The sequence below is a fragment of the Homo sapiens genome, chromosome 1, assembly GCF_000001405.40.
Source record: "Homo sapiens chromosome 1, GRCh38.p14 Primary Assembly".
NCBI lineage: Eukaryota > Metazoa > Chordata > Mammalia > Primates > Hominidae > Homo > Homo sapiens.
Genome location: NC_000001.11, coordinates 18889329 through 18911707, shown reverse-complemented (window position 1 = coordinate 18911707; position 22379 = coordinate 18889329). Strand labels below are relative to the sequence as shown.

The following is a 22379-nucleotide window of genomic DNA, read 5'->3' as shown; positions in this document are numbered from 1 at the left end:
AATTAGCCAGGCCTGGTGGTGGGCACCTGTAATCCCAGCTATTCGGGAGGCTGAGGCAGGAGAATCGCTTGAATTCAGGAGGCAGAGGTTGTAGTGAGCCGAGATCATACCTCTGCACTCCAGCCTGGGTGACAGAGCGAGACTCCGTCTCAAGAATAAATAAATAAATAAATAAATAAATAAATAAATAAATAAATAAAATAAACTGTCCCGTTTGTTCTATTTCCCCAGCAAGAGGAAAACTTGGGCAACTTGATCCATGAGACCGAATCCTTCTTCAAGACGAGAGACAAGGAGTACCAGGAAACGATAGGTCAGATCGAGGTGAGGGCTCGGGACGTGGAGCCCACTCGTGAGGCTCTCCTGAGGTCCACATGGTTGAGATCCTGGCGATCAAACACCCATGTGTCATGGGCAGGGGCTGGTAGAGTGGGGCAGGCGCAGGATCGGGAGTCAGGAGGCCTCGGGGCGAGTAATGTCTTTCTTAGGGCCTCAGTTTCCTAATCTGTCAAATGGGGGTGGTGATCCTTGCCTGCCTCAGAGAATTAGAAAGAATATATGTAGCTGAGATGATCCCATAATAACCACAGAGCTGACATTCGAGTGATAGTGAGTGACACAAGGTGCTGAGTATGCCCGGTATCCTTACCTGTGCCCTATGCAGTAGGCACCGTGCACCCCTTTTACAGAGGAGGAGATGAGGCTGGAAAGGACCAAGTGACTTGCCCAAGGCCTTGCGGCCAGGAAGCAGCATTGAAGTATAATTCTCTCTGGCTCCAGAGGCTGTGCATGTGATCACTTCTATAAACGATAGTCATTGCTATTATGCAGGAGAAAGGGAAGCCCAGCTCCTTCCCTAGAGGAAGTATCACTTGATAGAGGACAAGAGTCAGAAACATGAAAAAGCCTTCAGGATTTTTGTAATCAGGTCTGGATAAAGGAACCCAAAGATGTTGAGTTCTCAGAACCGGGTGGGGTGCATCAGAGCCAGGCTGCTGCTGGGGTTGCTAAGCAACCATTCCCCTTTGGCCAGAAGGAGTTCTAGGGGAAGTGGACCCATGTGCAGAGAGCAGAGGGTGAGGGAGGTTGATGTCCGGAGGCAGGGTCCTGATGGCATGGTGTCCAATGGTGGCCTTGATGGCACCATCCCTGAGGAATCCAGGAGGAGAGGTTGCCGAGGCTTCTGTCACGAGGATGACTTGCCCTCACCCTTATTCCTCATTGGTTCCTCCCAGCTCGAGCTGGCCACAGCCAAAAGTGACATGAACCGACACCTGCACGAGTACATGGAGATGTGCAGCATGAAGCGAGGCCTGGACGTGCAGATGGAGACCTGCCGCCGGCTCATCAAAGGCTCCGCAGACAGGTACCCGCCCATCCTCCCAGGGGATTCAGCTATGGCATCCTTGGAGGGGAATTCCCAAGGCTGCAACTCGGCCATGTGTCATGCTCCCAACCTGTCTCTCTGTCCGTCCATCTGTCCGTCCGTCCGTCCATCCATCCATCCATCCATCCATCCAGTGACTATTAGCACACCTATGTGCCAGATGCCTTACATATCTAACCTCATGCAAGTCCCACCACCACCCTGCCCTTTGTTGATTCAATAGATACTTGCCAAAGGCCTGCTCTGTGCAAGACGGTGGGGCCAGTAAGTATAGCCCCTGCCCTCAAGGAGCTTAAGCCCCATTTTCTGCTGAAATGGGGAGCAGAGGTGGACAGGGCATGCTCCCATTTGCTCACAGGAAGTGATTTCCCTTCCTTTCCCATCTGTTAGTCTGTTCTCATGGTGCTATAAAGAATTGCCTGAGGCTGGGCGTGGTGGCTCACACCTGTAATCCCAGCACTTTGGGAGGCTGAGGTGGGAGGATTGCTTGAGCCCAGGAGTTCACAGCTAGCTTGGGCAACATAGCAAGACCCCGTCTCAAAAAAAAAGAAATGCCTGAGACTGGGTAATTTATAAAGGAAAGAGGTTTCGTTGACTCACCGTTCCACATGGCTGAGGAGGCCTCAGGAAACTTATAGTCATGGCAGAAGGCACCTCTTCACAGGGCGGCAGGGGAGAGAATGAGTGCCTAGCAAAGGGGAAACCCCCCCTTATAAAACCATCAGATCTCGTGAGAACTAACTCCCTATCACAAGAACAGGATGGGGGAAACCGCCCCCACGATTCAATTATCTCTAACTGGTCCCTCTCATGACACGTGGGGATTATGGGAGCTACAATTCCAGATGCAATTTGGGTGGGAACACAGCCAAACCATAGCATCCTCTTCCAACCCAGGGCCTGTCCCCAGGAGACTGACAAGTGTCAGGCATGGCACATAAAGCAGAGCCCCTGCCTTCAAAGACACACAGCCTTATCGGGGGACAGCCACGCTGAGAATGAGCTAATATGAGGAGAATGCCTGCCACACAGCACAAATACGTTGTCACTGTTTTCCTCGTTTTGCTGCATTACTGTACGAGAGGGAGGGACAGCTCTGTGGGGGCCAGATCTGTGTGCAGGGCCGTAGCCTTGCCTTTCAGACCTTTAACTCCTCAAACCCCCAGAACCCAGTGTGGTTATCTCCATTATCCAGACAGAAGAGCAGACGCTCAGGCAGGTTAAACGGTTTGCCCAAGTTCCCCCACCCCCAGCTCATCCGAGATAGAATCAGAACTGCACCCCAGTGATGTTAACCATATCCCGCATGGCCTCCTTTTGAGCTCTGAGTCATTCAGGTTTTACTTAGCACCTACTATATGCCCAGACATGGGTTAGGTGCTTGGAGAGTAACAGCCAAACTTGATCCACGGTCCAGCTCCCAAGGGGCTTTCTTCCTAGAGAAGCCAACACAGCCAGACCAAGTAGGGGCTGGTGCAGGGGGTTACCTCGTGAGCTTAAAGGATCTTAAGGATAGCTGAGTGAGGCAGGAGCTCAGGACCAGGCCCCTCTGAGAGTAGATCTTATAGAAGTGGCAGCTCAGCCTTCCCACTCCTTGACCCTTCAGAGGCCCAGGGCTGCTCTCTGAATTTCCCCACTCTCTTGTGCTTCTCAGGAATTCACCGTCCCCCAGCTCCGTGGCCAGCAGCGACTCAGGAAGTACAGATGAGATCCAGGATGAGTTCGAGCGCGAGGCGGATGTGGAGCCCATGGTCAGCTGATGACTGAGGCCCTGCGAGCCTGGTGGTCTTGGTGATGGGGCCCTGCCACCTCTCCTCATGGGGCCAGGAAGGCCCCTCGGAGTGGGGTTCGAAGCCACACCACACAGACTTTCTCTGCCCTCCCTTCTCTGGAGGCCCTGAGGGACTGCTGCTTCCTTCCTTCCTTCCACACCACCAACGGGTGCCCCGTCTCCATCCCCCACCCACCCAAGGAATGGTGCTGTCAATTTCTATTGTTCTCCACATTACAAATGCAGACTTCTGTGCGGACTTTGCAGTGTTAACTGTGCCTTCTCCCTTAAGCTGAGCCACTTTGAGCTCCAAAGAATTATTCCTAGCAGGTGTTTTTATACAGAACTCTAAGCTGAGGGCCGGGCCAACCGGCCGTGGTGTAATGTGGTTTCTGCCGTCCGTCCCACCTGCTCCTCTGATTGGCCATGGGCTATGCCCTCCCTTCCTCCTGAGCCAGCCCAGACTCGGCCTGGAGCTTGGGGTGCTCTGCCAACCCCCAGGAAGGAGCCGCTTGCCTCTGTGAGCTTTCTAGGCCTGGGTAGGGACCACCCCAATTTTCTCACTCCCTGAAGGAGAGAAAGGTGGAAGGAAGGGAAGGAGGACACATTTTAATTTTTTGGGGGGATCGAGTGGCAAAGTTGAAGGGACAAGGCACTGTGAGGGGAAGGCAGAGCCTCACTGTGTTTAAACTACTATGCAAAAAACAAAACAAACAACAAAAGCAGCTTGCCTTATATCATTGTGGAAGGCAGGACCTCTCCTGGGCTCCTGGCTTCCCCCTGGAGCTGGGAGAGAGGCCGGGGTTAGGGTGATCTGTGTGGCAGCACTGACTGGGTAGTGTGGGTTTGGCCGAGGTTGGTCATGAGGCTGGGGTTCCCGCAAGGCACTGGCCTCCCTGACCGCTTGCTTCCTTCCGGACCTCTGGGTTCAGGGCGGGGGCGGAGGGATCCTTGATTTCCCTGATAACTTGATGTTCTTCCCTCCCTCGCCAGCCAACAATAGAGGCTTAGAGATCTGTAATTTCTCTGTGAGAAAGTCTGAAGGGGCCAGGCCTGGTCTCTGCTCCCTTCTACCCGCCTTGGGTTAGGACTGTCCGGCAGTTGCCTGCTTTTGGCTGCTGGCAGGAGAGAAGCAGGGTGGGCTGCTGGCAGTGCAGGAGCTGGAGTGAGGGCCATCCTCTTTCTGCTCCTCGACACACGCAAGCCGCTCTCAGCAGTTCCCTCGACTGGCCAGTCGGGGTATTGATCTGAGCCAGCATCCCCCAAGACTTGAATGGCTTGAGTGGGACTGCGTTGAAGGGCACTGTGTGGCCCCCTTCCAAATCTCAGCTTGGAGCCAGCTGAGCAGGCTTTGCTTTATTATTATTTTTTAAGCCTACTGCAGTGGGTCTGTTGCCAATTTTAATTTTTTATTGTCCCAGGAGCTCCCTCTAGTGGTCAAGGTAGCAAAATGTGCCCAAGGACTAGAACTTGGGTCCCTCTGCCTTGCCTGGAGGCAGAAGGAGGGGGCTCTGGGTTTGACTGGGATTGTGGTCCCCAGGGGTCCGTGGCCTTTAAGGCTCTTCTCTCTTTTCTGTTTCCCCCACCTGTGTTACAGTCTTAAAAATACTGTACATAAAAGATATATGTAGAGAGAGAGAGAGAGCGTGAGAATGTGTTAGTGACTATGTGTGATGTAATTTATCACGATTTGGTGGCCTTCGTCATGAGTTTTTTCCTTTGTTTTCTTTTGCTGGGGGCACCTCCCACGGGTCCCCTGTGGCAGTCTGGCTGTGACACTTCCATAGTCAGCATCTCTTGTTAGCCAAACAGTTCCCTTTGACAGGTACTTGGAGGGACAATGGTTTTGGAAGAGAGACGGCCCTTCTCTCTCCTCACTCACCCTTGTTCTAAAGGTTACAGGGTTCAAACATACCTGATTCTTGTTGTTATTGTTGTTGAATTTTTATTTTAACCAAAGGTTATCAGAGCCAGTTGGGCTTGGACCTCAGCTGCTAAAAAGATTTTCCGTTTCCTCGAGGGCAGGAAAACATCCACCCTCGTGGGTCTCCTCCGTCCAGGGCCGAGGGAGGCATTGGACAATGTGGTATGGGAGTTTCGTGGGCAGCGTGGAAGCCGGCCCTGGGTTGTTCCCCAAGGTGGTGGGAGGGTGACAGATATATCTTTAGACTTAAGACTGTAAGGCAGCAGTGTTAGCATGGGAGTAACTAAGGTTACTGTGGTTATCGGTGTCCGGCGGTATTATTTTTACTTTCCTCCTTGTATACATAGGTCATTTGTCTTTGAGGACTAGGGTACTCTAGGGAGTTTGAAAACTGCAGGAGCCAGAAAGAGATCCTGGCCTGAGAGTCCCTTCTGGCTGGCTTTTAATATCTGCTCTCCTCTTGGGAGTGAGGACTTGGGGCAGGTGGGTAGGAGAGGGAAAGCCAGAGTGTGATGGGCCTGCCTCCTGGGCTGGTTCCTGGGTCCGGCCTGCCTGCCTGCCTGCCTGCCTCTCCACCACATGCTTTTTTCAGTTAATGTCAGTGGGCCCTGCTTGTCCCCTCACCATGAGCCCACAGCTTGCCAAGAAAGACCCCAACGCTCGCTGGGGCAGCACCAGTCCTAGCTGGGACGAATTGGTCCATCCTTTGTAAAGCTGTAAATACTTAATTTTGACTTTCTATTTCTAAGCCCAGTGTCATATTGACACTGGTATTTTAGAATTTTCTCAGATGGGCTCTCCTGCGCTGCCCTCTGTCTCCTGTTTTTGGGGGTTTTATACAAACAGAGGATTGGGGAGGGATAGGAAGACTAGCATCCTTTTGGCTCCCTGGTTGGTTGTGAAATACACACACACACACACACACACACACACACACTCGCACTCCTCTGAGACTCCGAACAGAGAAAAAAATTATTGGCAAATCAACACATTTTTCTTTCTCGTCTTGAGAAAATGTCTTGAGGTCCCTGAAGGGCCAAATCCATCGTGGACTAACTCTGTGGGTAGAGCTCAGATGACCTAGGGAGAATTAAACCACTTAAGCTTGGAGTGGGAGGAGAGGGGGTGGGGTGGGGGAGAATATAAGATGTAACTTAAGCTAAATGTAATCTATTTATAAAGCAAGAGACTCTCATCTATTTTTATGAAAGGAAGGGTTTTTTAATCTAGGGTAGGCAGTTGTGGTAGCCCAGCATTTTCCTGTGGACGAGACATGGTGCATGTTGTTGCTGGATTGAATGGAACCCATTCCTGTCCCCCGGCCTCGTCTTCTGTCCTCACTTTTGGTCATCCACACCCATGAGCAGCTTCAGCAGAGTGTAGGTCCCACTTCACCCCATTCTCCTCTCCTCTGACCCCTCAGCTCCTTGGAAGTCTTGGGGTGGGGATCTGAGGGGGTGGGTGGGCTGCAGGAAATTCAGAAATGTGGTGGGTGGGGGAAGGGACAAGGCGCATTAGGGAGGGAACAAGCTGGGCTCTGGGGATAGGCTCTGATTAATTAGTTACTCTGACTCTGGTCTGCCGAGATCCATTTCCAACCCAGTTGCGTTGGGAGAGGGTTGGGAGGCAGCAGAGCATGGGTGACAGTGGGAGCACACGACTTCCTTGGAGCCTGGGCCTTTGCGGGTCCCAGGTGGTCAGGCAGCTGGAGCAGAAGTGGAAATGGCTTAAGATGCTCATAGCCCAGCCCCGGCTGTGTCTACTCCAGGCCAAGCCTGGGCTGCAGTCCTTGCTATGTTCCCCCCAGGGCCCTGGGGGGAGGGATCAGGGTGCTGGGGGTTTCCTAGGACAGGGGTCTTCCCCCTTGAGACACCAAGCTCTGGCTCTAGAAGAGCTCTCTCCTGGAGTGGGGAGTCTGGAGGGGACTGGGTGGGTGCAGGTAAAGCCAGATTCTCTCTGGAAGGGAATTTTCTATGAATGGATGATTTCCAGGCTCAGGGTGGGCTGTGTGTTAGTTCTGAGCAAATCCCTCACCAAGACCCTTCCCTCCCAAGCCCTCAAAGAAATGAGGCAAAGCCCTTCCCTGCAAGACCCCTTGTGGATGTTTTTGCATCTACCTGATTTTTAGCCCCACCCAGGGAGACTTTATACCCCATGATCCTGCCCCACCGTTGCTGTTGTCTGCCAGCTGGGTCTAGCATCACAGGGAAGGGGGGGATTTATACTCATGGAAAGACTACTGATCCTACCGGAAACCAACCTGTTTACTGTACTGTTGTAAATATCATGCCCTTTATATCCTGTATATTGGCTTCTTTTAAATAAAGTGAAATGTCTTAGAACTGATGGTGCTTTTTTTTGTTTTTGTTTTTAAACAGAAGATGAATCTGGTGTTGGGGGAGGGGTAGGAGGACGGAAGGCCACAGAAACCCTCAAACTCATTAGTTAATTAGCCATAAAATAGGGGATTTCATATCACCTGTTACATTTGTAGCTCACAATAAAAGCTTTGGAAGATGACAAAGCAGGAATCATTACACACATTTTACTGAAGGGGAAGAGAGGACATGAGACATCACAGGCTCAGTAACTGGCTTGGCCTGGTTTGGAACTGATGTCCTTTTAACCACAAAGCCCCCATTTTTCCAGGCTCTCCAACGTGCCCACAGGAGGTCACCTTCCCAGGCTCTGGATTTGACAGTAACCAATGTTCTAGTTTTTCTTGTCAATGGGCATGTTCAGGGCAACATTGCCCAAATGTGAACTGAGCCCACCTGTCTAGGGTTTTCTCCAAAGGTGAAGACAAATAGCCGCCACCAATTCCAATTTGCTTTTTGCCATTCCTAATACTTGGCATTTAGGTAATCTCCCTCTCCTACTCTTCATTTAAATGTTTACATTCTCCCAAAGTACCTCAAATGGTGTAATCTGGAGAAAAATAAGTGGCTTAAGATCACGGGGGCTTTGTGAGTTGGGTACTATTACTTCCGTTTTACAGATGAGGAAACTGAGGCCCGGAAAGGATATGTAGTCTGCCTAGTGCCCTGCTTGAGGAACCAAAATCAGCATGGGAACTGACTCCTAAGCAGGTGCGCGGTTCATGCTGCTGGAAGAAATATAAACAAATTAGAACAGAGAGTAAGGAAACGTAACATTACTTTAGGAATAGATTGGGTCCCTGAGACCTCGTCATCAGAGAAGACTTCAGAATCCAAGTTTTAAATAGCATTCTAGTGTTTACCAAGCACACAACATTTTGCAAAGAAAGCTGAAATTTTTACTTGGGGGTAAAAGGCTCAGGAACAACTGGTTTTGCGGCCAAAGGCTTTAAATGAAAAGCTAAGCGTTGGCCAGCTCAGGTTTTATCTTGCATTGATCGTAATCTGCAAGGAAGCTAAGAAGCTGGCCGGCCCCGCGCCTGGAGGGTAGGTGGAGAGCGGCTGGGTCCTGGCCAAGAAGCTGGAAGGCAGGCTCATTCCAGGGGCCGCAGCCCCCGGGAAGAAGCAGGGGGCTGGCCGCGCTGTGGCCCTGCGGGGTCGAGGAGTCTGGTAGCGGACAGGTTTCCAGCCTTGTACAAGCCACCGGCAGCCCGAGAGAAGTCAGTCGGACTCCCATCGAACCCGGGGCGCACGCCAGAGGGCCGGACGCAGCGAGTCCTTCTGCCCCGCTTCAGCACGTGTCCCATTTCGGTTATCTCATTGGCTCTATTCAGCCCCTCTCTGCTCCGCTTTGGAAGGCTGCCGCAGGACCGCCCCGCTGATTGGTTCAGAAGCTTTGGTGTGTCACTCTGACTGGTCGACAGAGTTCACGCCCTCTCTCCCGGGTCATACCATAAAGAGAGGAGGGGAAAACGCATGCATTTCAGGACTTCGCTTTCGGGTTCCCTTGTCCTGTGTTGTGTAATGCCCCCGTTATGGCACTAGAAATATTTTTTATTAGCCGAAGCTAAATATAGTGGGACTTTGGCTGATCCCGAGCTCGGAGGACAGCCGGGGTGATCCGTTTCCCCCCGAGGATCGAGGTGGTGCGCTCTGGACGGGGTTGTGCATTCTCGCCGCGCCCGGGCGGACGATCCAGCGAACAGCCCCGCTTCTAACCCGAGATGCTGCTGCCGGCGCCCGCGCTCCGCCGCGCCCTGCTGTCCCGCCCCTGGACCGGGGCCGGGTGAGTGAGCACGGGGCCCGGGGCGGCCCGAGCGCGCGCCTGGGGCCCGGGAGCCTGAGAGTCACTGGGCGTCCCCCGCGCCGCACTCCCTCCCTGCCGGACCCCCAAGCTGCCTCGGTCAACGCCGGGTTCCTCAGGGGCTCCCCTCCGACCCCCACCCAGGCCTTTCTCCCACTGAGATCCCTTAGCCTCCTCCCTCAGGTAGTCACCTTCCTTTAGCGAGGGGACCCCTCTTCCCGAATCCTGCGACCGAGTAGGGTGCCTCGGTGGCCCTGCCGGTTCCCACGCTCGGAAAGTAGCCTCTGTAGTCACTCACCTCACTCCTAATACTGGATCTTCGCAATTTGCTGGCTTCCCCTGAGGGGCCCTTCTATTTTTAGCACACCACACATCTCACTTCCCCACCCTCGTCTCACGTTCAGTGTCCCCATCCCGCCCCGGATTCCCCGAGTCCTCTCCTTCTACCAGGATTTCTACCTCTCTCTTTTCCGCTCCCCACACACCCCGCCGCCCGTTTTTTTTTTTTTTTTTCAAGTTAAATGTTGGACAGAAAAAAGGATTCCTTTCTTCTTGTAGGTGGAATAATCATATTTATAGAGTGCTTATAATGAACCAAATGCTGGCCGGGCAATTGGCAGGTGTCTTATGAGGATTAAATGAGTTAATACATGGGGAGTGCACTGAACAGTGCCCAGCACAAAGGCAGCGCCCGGTTATTATTATTGCCACGATCATCATCATTATCACCTCTATTTAAACTTCTCACTCCTGTGAGGCAGGTCATTATTCCAAATAATGAAGAAACCCAGGAGCAGTTCAGGGGTGGACCTGCCCTTCAAATCCCGATTTGCAAACCTGACATTGTGGAGCCAGGTGCCTGGACCCTTGCCCACTCAATGACAAATATTCTCAGAGCCCCTCCAGCTCGGAGCTAGGTTTGGAGAGGTAGGTGGGACACAGACCCTGCCCCAGAGGGGTTCCTAGTCTGGTGGGGCTGCCCACCTGTGGATCAGCCCCCCCTCCCATTTGAGGTTTGTTTGCTTGACCCCTGGGGCTGTTAGTGGCAGTGTCTTTCCTGATGAGCTGTGCCCTTTCTGAGTTAATCAGTGGCCCTCTCCCTTCCCCCAAGGGATGGCATGGTGGTGCTCTGAGCACAAGTGAGTTGCAACACTGCTGTGTGTCCTCTGTGGGTGAAGAGGGGATAGGAAAGGGCGCAGGAAGAGGACATGGGACAGAGGGGTTCCTCTTCTAGGCTGAGACTGGGGCCACACTTGCCATACTCCCTGTGTGATCCCGTTTGCAGGCCTTCCCTGCACTCTGAGACTCAGGAAGATGGAGCTTATAGAGTCCTGTGTTTACTGAGTGCCTACTGTGAGCTGGTGCTCTGCCAAACACCCTAGAGATGAGGGGTACCCAGGGAATTTACATGGGGTGGGGCCTTTGAGGAGTTTTCGGCTTAATAGGGGAGAAATGCATAGGAAAACCCTCCAATATCTAGTAGAAAGCAATCCATATTCTAAAAGATAAGCCCATGATAACAATAATGATTATCAAGCAATCAAGCACCATGGGCCTAACACCGAGCCGGTAAGTACTGTCTCATTCCTGTATTATCATGGGAAACGATCTGCCATCAGAGATATATGACTGAAATTACATTTGGTCTAAATCCAGATTTATGCTCTGAATTATGAGGCCTCCTGAATTGAGAGGGGAAAGAGAAAGAGCATTTTGCAGCTGGTTCCCTGGGCTCAAGTTACCCCTTTGATACAGCAGCTGGCCGCATGCCCTAGACAGGATTTCTCAACCTCACCACTATTCGCATTTGGGGCTACATTTTGGTTGCTGTGGAGTCTGTCCTGTGCACTGTAGAATGTTTAGCAGCGTCTCTGGCCTTTACCCGCTGCATGTCAGGGGCACCCCCGGCCCTGACAATTACGAAAAAAACCCTGGCCCTGACAGGAAACACAAGTTCCCAGACATTGTCAGATGTTACCTGGGGGACAAAAGTCACCTCCGGTTGAGAGCCAGTGCTCTAGAGGAACAGCTTTGATGTTTGATCACTTGTTCATTTACTCAGTGAACATTTAGAGCACACCCGTGACATGCCATGTCTGCATTTATGGAGAAACAGTCGCAGGGCATTTTCAGTGACATCCCTCAGTGTCCTACGTGTAAAACTCTAGTCCTGAGAAAAACCGCTGCTTTTGAGGAACGGGTATAGGAGATGCTTCTTAGTGTTTTCTTTTTTGCCTTGAGTGCCAGGAATCTCTGCTAGTTTTAAAAAATACCCTTGATACATGTTTTCTTTTAGTTTAATACATGTCAACTGTGAAAAGTACAGATAAGGCAAAAAAATAGAAAAATCACCTGGAATTGTACCACACAGAGGTACCCACTGTTAACATTTTGATTCATGTCCTTTAACTTTCCATGAATAGATATGCTTTTAAAAAAAACCTCATAGAAACAAGCTCATCTGCCCATACTTTATTGTAGCTTGTTTTTTCCCTTTATACACTTGTCTGCCTTACAGTATGTTCCCAGGCCCTGGAACTGTGTCTGGCACCTGGTAAGCCCTTGGCAAACATTTAGGGAATGAATGAACTAATCATGTGAGCCCTTCCTTGTCAATCGATATTTATCACGGCCAGCCTCAGGACAATCACCATAAAGTGTGGCCTTTATAGGTGGGCCCAGGGATGGCAGCTGGTGACAATGACTGCCATTTACTTTTCATGTGGATTATTTTACTCAGCCTCTCAGCAACCTATGATGTAGGGGTTACCACCCCCATTTCACAGATTAAACAACTGAGGCCCATGGAAATTAAGGAAAACTTGTCCGAGGCCTTGAGCTGGTGAACACCAGGCCTCCCAACTGACTGTCTCTTTCCTCCTTTAACCCTGACTTCCTGTTTTTTTCTCAATCAACTTTACCATCAGTATCCTCAGTTCTCTTTGGAAACAGGCAGGATACAGATTAATAGCCAGCCCAGGCATGTAGTAGGCTTATAAGAGTTCACTTCTGTTCCTTATTTCTTGTGCCAAGCCCAGACATGACTCCAGCTCAGCCCGTCTGACATCAGGGGGCTTGTGGGCCGGAATTGGTTACTACCGTGTCCCCTGCAGTGATCCTGGGTGGTTTTGGACTCTTCTCAGGCTACCTGATGGTTTAATTTTCAAAATATCAAAAGCACACAATGCTTTTCCTAGTCTGCCCAGCCCTTGGATGGGCACAGCTTGCCCTGGGTCGAGGGCTGGCATTTCCCACCATTCCTTAGACATTCTCTGCTCTTGAACTCCTCCAACCAGTGGCTGGGGCAGTGCCTTTGGCCTGGAATGTCCTGCTGGCCACCTCGGTGAGCCCATCCAGTGCTTTGTGGCCTTGGCAAGGCAGCTTCTGTCCCTTCAGTATCCTCGTCTGCAAAATGGGGATGATTGTATTAACAGCCACGTAGCAGGTGGCTGCAAGGATTAGCGGTGATGTGATCAGTGGTTTCCTGGATGCTGGTACCGAATGCGTGCTCTGTGAGTATTTGAGTTGGAGAATAATTAAAACCTGTGATTATCATCACACTTCTAAAGTAGTGAAAGCGCCATTGAGGCAGTGCTTGGCAGTGGCACCCCTGGGAGCAGCCTGCCTCCTGTGCCCTGCATCTGGCCCGGCACACAGTAGGCGTTGAACGGTTGCTGTTGAGATGGTCCAGAACACAGCATGGCTTGGATCCTGGCTCCAACTCTTGGCAGCTCTGTGGCCCCGGGCAGGTTACTCACCCTCTCTGGGCTCCCTTATGTTCTCATATGGAAAATAAAGATGACAGTAGTAGTCACCTCATAGGATTGTCCTGCGTGTTAAATGGTCTCATACATGGAAAGCACTTTGGAGTGCCCAGCACCTGAAATGCTCAGTAAGTGCTGCTGTGGTTATGATGATCCCCCTCTCCCACCAATGGGCTTCCTGGAGTGATCATCTTCGATCAGGAATATCAAGACAGCAGGGCCCAGCAGTGAAGGATGGTGGCAGGAGGGGAGGTATGGAACTCAGATGTCCTCGGTCTCTTCTGTTTATTCCAATTAAGTACCCCAGATGCCAAACCTCTTCTGTTATTATTGTTGGTTTGTTTGTTTGTTTGTTTTGGAGACAGAGTCTCACTCTGTTGTCCAGGCTGGAGTACAGTGTCATGATCTCAGCTCACTACAGCCTCAACCTCCTGGGCTCAGTCATCCTCCCACCTCAGCCTCCCAAGTAGCTGGAACTACAGGCGCACATCACCATACCCAGCTAATTTTTGTATTTTTTTTTTTTCGTAGAGACGGGGTTTCACCATGTTGGCCAGGATGATCTCAACCTCCTGGGCTGAAGTGATCCTCCTGCCTCAGCCTCCCAAAGTGCTGGGATTATAGGCGTGAGCCACTGCGTCCGACCTTCTGTTAGGGTTTTGACCCTGCTCACCTCAGGGGATGGAAAAGACTTCTCCCTTTCTTGCAGCCTCCTTAATCCCCAAACCTTCCCTTTCCTGGCAGAGGTCATGGCATGGAGTGAAGAGTCCCTGGGCTGAGCTGCTGTGCCAGTGGACAGCTGAGTGACCTTGGGCAAGTCACTGCCCACCTTGGGGCGGCGGCTTTCCTCAGGTGGAAATGAGGTTCTAGCTGTATGGTGAGGAGGATGAACGTGTCCCATCAGCCCCACCTGACCATGGGCCTCTGAGATGTTCCAGGTGCTTCAGCCATACTGTAAGTCTCCTGAGTAAGGAACAGCTGGGGTCAAATCCTGCTCTGTCACTCATGAGCTGTGACCCTGAGCCAGGAGTGAGTAACTCTGAACCTCATCCGTAAACAGATCATTCTACGGTCGAGTGTCCCTCATCTGAAATGCTTCAGAACAGAGTGTTTCGTTTTTTGGGTTTTTGTTTTTTTGAGACGGAGTCTCGCTCTACCTCCCAGGCTGGAGTATAGTGGCCAGATCTTGGCTCACTGCAACCTTCACCTCCTGGGCTCAAGCCATCCTCCTACCTCAGCCTCCTAAGTAGCTGAGACTACAGGCACACGCCACCACGTCCAGCTAATTTTTGTACTTTTAGTAGAGATGGGGTTTTGCCATGTTGGCCAGGCTGGTCTAGAACTCCTGACCTCAAGTGATCCGCCCTCTTCCGCCTCCCAAAGCGCTGGGATTATAGGCATGAGCCACTGCGCCTGGCCGGAAGTGTTTTGTATATTGGACTTGCTTGGATTTTGGAGAATTTGCCGAACAAGTTGAGCATCCCTACTCCCAAGTTCCAAAGTCCAAAATGCTCCAATGAGCATTTCCTTTGAGCGTCACGTTGACACTCAAAAAGTTTCAGATTTTGGAACATTTCGGATTTTGGATTTTTGGATCAGGGATGCTCAACTTGTCATGCGTTCCTCATACGCTTATGTGGTGGATTCAGTGAGATGATCCTGTCTCACTTAGGTTAATGCTTGGCATGTGGTGGCAAGTGCTTGACAAATGTTGCCTGATGTTTGCTGGGCAGTGGCTGAAGCAGCTCATCCCTGGCATTGGGTCTTTCTTTCTTTTTTTTTTTTTTGAGACATCGTCTCACTCTGTTGCCCAGGCTGGAGTGCAGTGGCACGATTTTGGCTCACTCCAACCTCTTCTTCCCGGGTACAAGCAATTCCTCTTCCTCAGCCTCCCAAGTAGATGGGATTACAGGCATGTGCCACCATGTCCAGCTAATTTTTGTATTTTTAGTAGAGACGGGGTTTCACCATGTTGGCCAGGCTGGTCTCAAACTCCTGACCTCAAGTGATCCACCCTCCTCAGCCTCCCAAAGTGTTGGGATTACAGGTGTGAGCCACTTTGCCTGGCTGGGCCTTTCTTTCCCTCCAGGCCCCGCCCTGGGCCCTGCACTTTCTCTGCTCACCTAGTGTTGCCTTTATGTCGGTGATAGGGAGGATTAGCCTTATCAGGCTCCAGATAATGGCTGGAAAAGTCAGGAGGCTGCATGAAGCAAAGATAATTTCCTTTCTATTTCTCCTCTCCTTGTCCTTGGCCACCCCTCACCTTAGCCACTGGGGAACCCAAGGGGCCAGTGTCCAGCCCCAGGTGATAGCAGAAGAGCACTGGCCTTGGAGTCCAGTCCTGGGGGCCTGGTGTCAGCTCTGACACTCATGCATTGATTGTATTTCTCAGGTGCTTACTGTGGCCAGTCAGTGTGTTAGGCTTGGGGTGCCTGGTGGTGAATGGGATGGGTACGGGCTGGCTGTGTGGAGCCTGTGGCCTGGCGGGCACACAGATGGTCAGTCAGAGCTCTATAATAGGGTTTTCACTAGTGCTTCCAGAAAAGTCTAGAGCTATGAGAGGAATCCGATAGGAGCCCCATTCCGGCTATGTGAGGTTGGACCAGTGGAGGACATCTCAAGCAGAGAGGACCCCAGAAGAGACCGGGGTGACCGGATTGCACCAAATGGGGCAGGGTGATGGGGAATACATTTGGAGGCCTTGGTAAGGATTCTGATGTCTTTATTTTAGAAGAAATGAGAAGCCACTGAGTAGTTTCTCACTGAGCTCCCCACTGTGCCATCTCTCTGATGATCAGATTTTCATGTTAACTTTGGTTGCGGTGTGGACCTGAGTGACTTGGAGACTGGAGCAGGGCTGGCATGGCGTGAGTCCAGGTTGAAGTGACTAGTACCTCGGACGAGGTGTCTTGGGCAAGGTGGAGTCTGGGCCCTCTGTGTCTTTTCAGTTTTTCCCTCTATAGATTTCTGAAGCTGCATTGGCTGGCCCACAGCTCCTTGCAACCCTGACATCTCCTGGTGCAGAAGGTGAAATGGTGCCTGGCCTTTGTAGATCAGATCCCAGTACTTGCAACCCTGACATCTGGTGCAGGAGGTGAAATGGTGCATGTCCTTTGTAGATCATATCTCAGTACTTGTAGCCCTGACATCTCCTGCCACAGGAGGTGAAATGGTGCATGGCCTTCATGGATCGGATCCCAGTACTTGCAGCCCTGACATGTCCCGCTGCAGGAGGTGAAACGGTACATGGCCTTCGTGGATCAGATCCCAGCATTTGTAGCCCTGACAACTTCCAGTGCAGGAGGTGAAACGGTGCATGGCCTTCGTAGATTAGATCCCACTTGTAGAGGGTGAGGGGGACCAACTTGAGGTCTCAGGCTCAGGGCATGAGCAGAAAGGGCACTGCAGATTTTCAGGGAAACCTGAGTCAGATTCAGACTCTGTCTTGTGCCGCCTTCCCTAAGTGGGAGGACTGAGGGCTGCTCTGAGAAAGGTTGGGTTGGATCCATATCTGCCTCCCAGAGCCAGGCACTTCCTGGGTGCTTGGAAAACGCATGCTGAATAATTGAGTGAGCTGTTATTGACCTGATCCAATTTATCTCTGCATCGTTGCCATGTGGAATAAATGTGTACTGACTGCATAAATGCGTGAATGGATGAGGAATGCTGTCCTGCCAAGAAGGTCCTCATGGATCCTCAGAGAGGCCCCAAGTCCTGTGACTGATTCATCTCTGCCTTCACCCGAGCAGCCAGTGGATGGATACTCCTGTTAGCCCAAAATTGTTCATGAACCAAAAAAAAAAAAAAAAAAAAAGAAAGAAAGAAAGAAAAAAGAAAGCACTGATGGGTGGGAGTCCTTAGGTTATTTTTAGCTGCAGTCGACTCAGGCTGAACTTTGAACTAGTGTCTGTTCTCCAGGCCACACTCAGACTGATGGACGGACAGCTGGGCCAGTGCTTGGAGACTTCCAGGCACAGGGAAAGCCGTGGGGGCATGTGATCCTGAGGTCACAGTGGGCATCTGGGCCTCTGCCCTGTGGAAGGAGGAGGGAGGCCTGCAGGATCTCTGACTCTGACATTTCCTGGGAGGGAACGGAGAAAGGAGAACTGGCCGCTACTACATTTATTTATATATTTTGAGATGGAGTCTTGCTCTCTTGCCCAGGCTGGAGTGCAGTGGCACGATCTGGGCTCACTGCTACCTCTACCTCCCAGGTTCAAGTGATTCTCCTGCCTCAGCCTCCTGAGTAGCTGGGTGTATAGGCGCGTGCCACCACGTCTGGCTAATTTTTTTGTAGTTTTAGTAGAGATGGTGTTTTGCCATGTTGGCCAGGCTGGTCTCGAACTCCTGACCTCAAGCAATCCGCCCACCTCAGCCTCCCAAAGTGCTGGGATTACAGGCGTGAGCCACTGCAACCGGCCTACTCCGTTTTAACCTGGGGATGGAATATGGTGCTGTGTATTCCTCCAGCAGTTGCTGAGTACCTGGGCCAGTCCCCGAGGCTGTGATTTTTGGGGGCATCTGGGAGCCCATTTGTCTCTGAAAGCCTGATCTACTGAAATAGCATTCTGAGACCTTTACAGTTTTCTTTGGAAAGCAAGAGCAGGAGGGGTGAGGAAAGGCCAACACTTGTAATCCTCCTGATGGCCCTGCAAGGTGCATCATGTCAACCTTAAATAGTGAGATTCAGAAAGAAGGATTAAGTAGTTTATTCGAGCTCAGAACTTGAGGATGGCCACCGGGGAGCATAGATTCAAGTTACCTCGAATATACACTCCGATTAGCTGCAGTAACAAGTGGGATTTTAAGGTGCGGAGGAAAGAGGCAGTTTCTAAGTCATTTACCAAAAATTTATATTAAAATAATATAAGCTACCGGCTGGGCACAGTGGCTCACGCCTGTAATCCCAGCACTTTGGGAGGCCAAGGCGGGTGGATCACTTGAGGTCAGGAGTTCGAGACCAGCCTGGCCAACATGGTGAAACCCCATCTCTACTAAAAATACAAAAAATGAGCTGGGTGTGGTGGCGGGCACCTGTAATCCCAGCTACTTGGGAGGCTGAGGCAGGAGAATTGCTTGAATTCGGGAGGCGGAGGTTGCAGTGAGCTGAGATCGCACCACTGCACTTCAGCCTGGGTGACAGAGTAAGACTCCGACTCAAAAAAGAAAAAAAAAAGCTACTGATTTGCTGTGCATTGTTCTTTGTGTGACGCTTTCCAGGATCATGAAGTTAATGGATGAGGCAGCTAGTCAGAAACAAAATGCCTTGAAATAATTGCCATCGGGTGTGGATGCAAAGGGCATGACTCAGGTCCCATATTCGTGTCTCCCTGGGCCTGATACATTTTGCATACTTCACATAGCTCACGCTGCTCTGAGCTATTTTTCTCTTTTCGGTAGTATTGTACCCATTTTCCAGGTGAGGAAACTGAGGCTCGCAGACTTTCTAAGAATGCACTGAGGTCATGGAGCAGGTGTGAGCTTTGCCTCCGGATTTGTCCACTTCTGGGGCCTGTGCTTTTCCCATCCACTGGGACCTGGGCTCCAAAGAGGGGCTGGGACAGACTCAGTTATTTGGAGTCCCGCTTCTCGGCTGAAAGAGTTGATGGTGATATCTGGCTCACCATCTTTGGTGGGTGTGGTGCTGTTGAGGCCTGGAGCGCAGCTTGAATGCAGGGTCAGGAGCTTAGCTGAGGTCCCTGTCAGAAGCTTCCAGATGGTCCCAGGGGATTGACACTGCCTTGTCCCTTCCTGAGGGACTGTGGAGACTCGTGGCTGCCTCTCCATTCTTCTCATGATGGTAGATGGAAGAGGGCCGTGCAGATTTTAATGTATTTATCGTTATCAAATCTCCATATTAACCCCATGAGGGGGTGTCAGTGTTTTAGGGAGGGAGGGAAACTGGCTTCAAGACATGTGACTTGCCCAAGGTCACACAGCTAGTGGGAGGCAGAGTGGGGGTGGGGAGTGCAGAGCTACCGGCTCAGGGTGGAGGTTGGTGGGGAGGGGAGGGGAGTGGAGAGAAGGTCCTATGTGCTCACTTTACCTGTCAGGATCTTGGGTGCCCTGCCCCTGCCTCTCCCTCTCCCTCTACCACGCAGGCCCCTCTCAGCCCCCCCCCGCCTCCTTCTACCTGGGATGCTCTTCCCAGCTCCTCTCAAGCCTCCTTTAAGTCCCTCTCAGGGTCACCTCCTCAGAGAGGCCTTCCCTGACCACCCTGGCTGAAGCAGCCCTATTCTCCCCCTTGTTTGCCATGCTCACCATCTGCGGTTACCTTGCTTATTTCCTGACCAGGCCTCACACTGAAGGTCACCTGTGTGCAGCCAGGGGCCTCGCTGTCTCTGTCACTGCTTTATCTCCAGGGTCTGAGACGGCACCAGAGACCCAGCAGGTCCTCAGTCAACCTCAAGTCAAGTGGAATGAACACAGGGCCTGGCCACACTCCTTTGGTTTTGTGTCCTTCCTTCAGGCTTCCCAGGCTGGGTCTTTGAGCCCCAGACTCCTTCTGGCCCCCGACACTCATAGCCGGGCCAGTCTGTCTCCCATAGGGCAAAAACAATCCCGCAGAACACTAGCCTCAGGCCACGTCCCTCTGAGACCATGATCAGATGAGACACAATAAGCCCTCTTCCTGATTTTTTTTTTTTTCCTTGAGATGGAATCTTGCTCTGTCATCCAGGCTGGAGTGCAGTGGCGTGATCTCAGCTCACTGCAACCTCTGCCTCCCGGGTTCATGTGATTCTTCTGCCTCAGCCTCCCAAGTAGCTGGGAGTACAGGAGTGGGCCACTACGCCCAGCTAATTTTTGTATTTTTAGTAGAGACGGGGTTTTACCATATTGGCCAGGCTGGTCTCACACTCCTGACCTCAAGTGATCCGCCCACCTTGGCCTCCCAAAGTCCTGTGATTACAGGTGTGAGCCACCATGCCGGGCCTTCTCTTCATGATTTTTGTCTAAGCACGGACAAAAACAAGGTCTCTGTGCCACCCACAAAGCTCTGCACATCTTGGTAAATGTTCCTTTTTTCCCAGTCAGCCTCACCCCCACTTTCTGATGGCAGCCAATCCAGAGCTAACCGTGGCTTCCTTAAACCCTCCCCAAGTCACCCTGCCAAACCCCATGGGTTTCCTAACAGCATCTTACTGAGATGCCCTGTGGTTCCCTACGCTGTGTGTTTTCCCTCATTGCGCCGACCAGTGAACCCCACCTGTGCACTTCCAGCTGTTCGGGTTGTCTGGGGCCATTGACACCAGAGAGAGATGGTATCTGGGCCTTCTGGACTCAAGTGCAGGTTTCCCCTACTCTTGATCTTGAACTAGTCATTTTCCTTTTAGGACCAAAATGACCTTATTTCTGTAGAGAGGTGGCTGGTGAGGCCCGTCCTATGCCACGGTAGATGGGAAGTTTGTCAATTTCAAGTGCCCTTTGGGCATTAGTTGACTTTGTCATCATCATTCTTCTCATTTACAGAGGGGGAAACAGGCCTGAAGGGGAAGCCCCACAGCTGGGAGGTGGCAGGGCTGAGGCTCCAGCTCTGGAATGACTGACCCCAGCGTCCTAGCTTTGAGCCACCTGACCTCCCACCTTGTGACCCTCAGATGTGGTAGGGGGTGGTGGAAAGAGGTCAGAGGATTTGAGCAAGGAGTTCTTGAGACTCAGTGTCCTGGAATCAGGCACCTCACCCCCAGGGCCAGCCCTCCCGGGGCTGTGAGCTGAGCTCAGGGCAGCTCTCCAAGTTCATGGTCCACATCTTGGACATTCCTGCCCAGCCAGAGCTCTCAGCCCTTTGTGCCAAGGGGATCTCAGCTGGTTCACATTCTGAGACTGTGTTCTGGAATGTGCTGCCCTTTCAGCTTAGAGAGAGGAGTTTGGGTCTTTTTGGGATAAAGCCTGCCTTGTGGGAGAAGAAAGGGAGAGTAACGCTTTGCATGTGGAAAATACTTCAACGTGGTTTTGCATCTGTGTGTTTAAACTTCAAACAACCGCGTGAGTTCGGTGCGATTATTCTTACTTGATAGACGTAGAACCACGTTCACAGGAGGCAACTCACAGGCTCAAGGACACACAACCGTGGGACTGGGACTTGAACCTTGGGTTGTGGACCCCCAAGGTGGGTTTTTGTTGTTGTTTTGAGATGGAGTTTTTCGCTCTCTCACCCAGGCTGGAGTGCAGTGGCACGATCTCGGCTCACTGCAACCTCTGCCTCCTGGGTTCAAGCAATTCTCTTGCCTCAGCCTCCTGAGTAGCTCAGACTACAGGCACACATGCCACCACACCTGGCTAACGTTTAAAATATTTTTAGTAGAGACGGGATTTCACCGTGTTGGCCAGGCTGGTCTCGAACTCCTGACCTCAAGTGATTTGCCCGCCTTGGTCTCCCAAAGTGCTGGGATTACAGGTGTGAGCCACCATGCCCAGCCCAAGGTGGGGTTTTGACCCCCCACTTTCTAGTTGCATTGGATTTCAGGCTCTGGGTGCCCACCTAGGACCCCCTGTCGGAGGTAGAGGGGCTGGGGTCTGGTGGTGGGGCCGCTGCTGACCTCTCTGCCTCTGTCCCCTGCCCTTGTGTTCCAGCCTGCGGTGGAAGCACACCTCCTCCCTGAAGGTGGCCAACGAGCCCGTCTTAGCCTTCACGCAGGGCAGCCCTGAGCGAGATGCCCTGCAAAAGGTAATGGGAGGGTGGGAGGCACCCGAGAGGTGCAGGGCATGGAGCAGAGGCCATCCCCAGCAGCCCTGAGATAGCGCCCCGTGCCTGCAGCCATCACCCGCTTCTACCCTTGCTCCCAGCCTTGGGTGGAAGCCTGGGAGGGCTGTGGGTCTGGAGTGTGGGAACAGCTGGGAGGACCAAGGTGGCAGCCTGGAGCTACTCTGGGGCTTCTCAGGCCAGGTCAGATGTCATAAACCTAGTTGTTTTATAGTTAAACATGTTTTCCAGTTAATTGCCAGCATTTTAAAAATCATGAGATTTCATATAAGTTTCAGGTGCAGTTTTTTTATCTCTGTGTCATGGGTAGACCTCACCTTCCTGCAGGGTGACAATGGCTGGAGCAGAGTCCGGCTGTCCCCGAGGGCAGCACATGTTCTCTGATGGCCACCGACCTGGCCTGGCCCCCTTCTCATTTCTGTATTGCCTGGGCACCTCCGTCTGTGGACTCTGCGTTAGGGTTTTAGATGGGAGGAAGCGAGGAAGGCGGTGACCATACCCACTCTTGTCCCTCTCCCCAGGCCTTGAAGGACCTGAAGGGCCGGATGGAAGCCATCCCATGCGTGGTGGGGGATGAGGAGGTGTGGACGTCGGACGTGCAGTACCAAGTGTCGGTATGTCCAGCGGGTGGGCAGAGCTCAGCCCCT

General features: G+C 51.9%; 2 protein-coding genes, 1 long non-coding RNA gene and 1 other non-coding gene across 9 annotated transcripts in view, besides 4 other annotated features; 3 read left to right on the top strand and 1 right to left on the bottom strand.

Annotated features, from left to right (window-relative positions):
* Nucleotides 1-7428, top strand: part of IFFO2 (intermediate filament family orphan 2) — a 52397-nt gene extending 44969 nt beyond the window's left edge. For all 3 annotated transcript variants that reach the window (XM_047444839.1, XM_011540630.3, NM_001136265.2), the window contains 3 exons: nucleotides 232-324; nucleotides 1236-1366; nucleotides 3042-7428. In XM_047444839.1, coding sequence (XP_047300795.1) covers nucleotides 232-324; nucleotides 1236-1366; nucleotides 3042-3147 — 330 coding nt within the window. In that variant the 3' untranslated portion in view covers nucleotides 3148-7428. The remainder of the gene's footprint in view (nucleotides 1-231; nucleotides 325-1235; nucleotides 1367-3041) is intronic.
* Nucleotides 8100-8917: an enhancer, noted in NCBI's record as "H3K27ac hESC enhancer chr1:19229285-19230102 (GRCh37/hg19 assembly coordinates)". NCBI's record gives its function as "activates a minimal SCP1, AML or CMV promoter by ChIP-STARR-seq in primed H9 embryonic stem cells {active_cell/tissue: H9 hESC(primed)}" and the evidence as "EXISTENCE:reporter gene assay evidence [ECO:0000049][PMID:30033119]".
* Nucleotides 8100-9086: a biological region, named in NCBI's record as "H3K27ac hESC enhancer GRCh37_chr1:19229285-19230102".
* LOC124903866 (uncharacterized) lies at nucleotides 8337-9595 on the bottom strand. Its single transcript, XR_007065519.1, has 2 exons — nucleotides 9456-9595; nucleotides 8337-8898 (listed from the first exon to the last, which is right to left on the bottom strand). It is a non-coding gene; the product is annotated as an uncharacterized LOC124903866 (long non-coding RNA).
* Nucleotides 8857-9086: an enhancer, noted in NCBI's record as "active region_282". NCBI's record gives its function as "activates an Ori minimal core promoter by ATAC-STARR-seq in GM12878 lymphoblastoid cells {active_cell/tissue: GM12878}" and the evidence as "EXISTENCE:reporter gene assay evidence [ECO:0000049][PMID:35858748]".
* The window catches only part of ALDH4A1 (aldehyde dehydrogenase 4 family member A1), a 31126-nt gene continuing 17899 nt past the window's right edge, over nucleotides 9153-22379 (top strand). For 3 of the 4 annotated variants that reach the window (NM_001319218.2, NM_170726.3, NM_003748.4), the window contains exons 1-3: nucleotides 9153-9246; nucleotides 21603-21696; nucleotides 22254-22346. In NM_001319218.2, coding sequence (NP_001306147.1) covers nucleotides 9185-9246; nucleotides 21603-21696; nucleotides 22254-22346 — 249 coding nt within the window. In that variant the 5' untranslated portion in view covers nucleotides 9153-9184. Of the gene's footprint in view, nucleotides 9247-20816; nucleotides 21015-21602; nucleotides 21697-22253; nucleotides 22347-22379 lie in introns of those variants that run through there. The other variant, NM_001161504.2, reaches the window with a different exon arrangement.
* Nucleotides 9167-9386: a silencer, noted in NCBI's record as "silent region_346". NCBI's record gives its function as "represses an Ori minimal core promoter by ATAC-STARR-seq in GM12878 lymphoblastoid cells {active_cell/tissue: GM12878}" and the evidence as "EXISTENCE:reporter gene assay evidence [ECO:0000049][PMID:35858748]".
* On the top strand, nucleotides 14560-14637 carry MIR1290 (microRNA 1290). Its single transcript, NR_031622.1, has one exon. It is a non-coding gene; the product is annotated as a microRNA 1290 (primary transcript).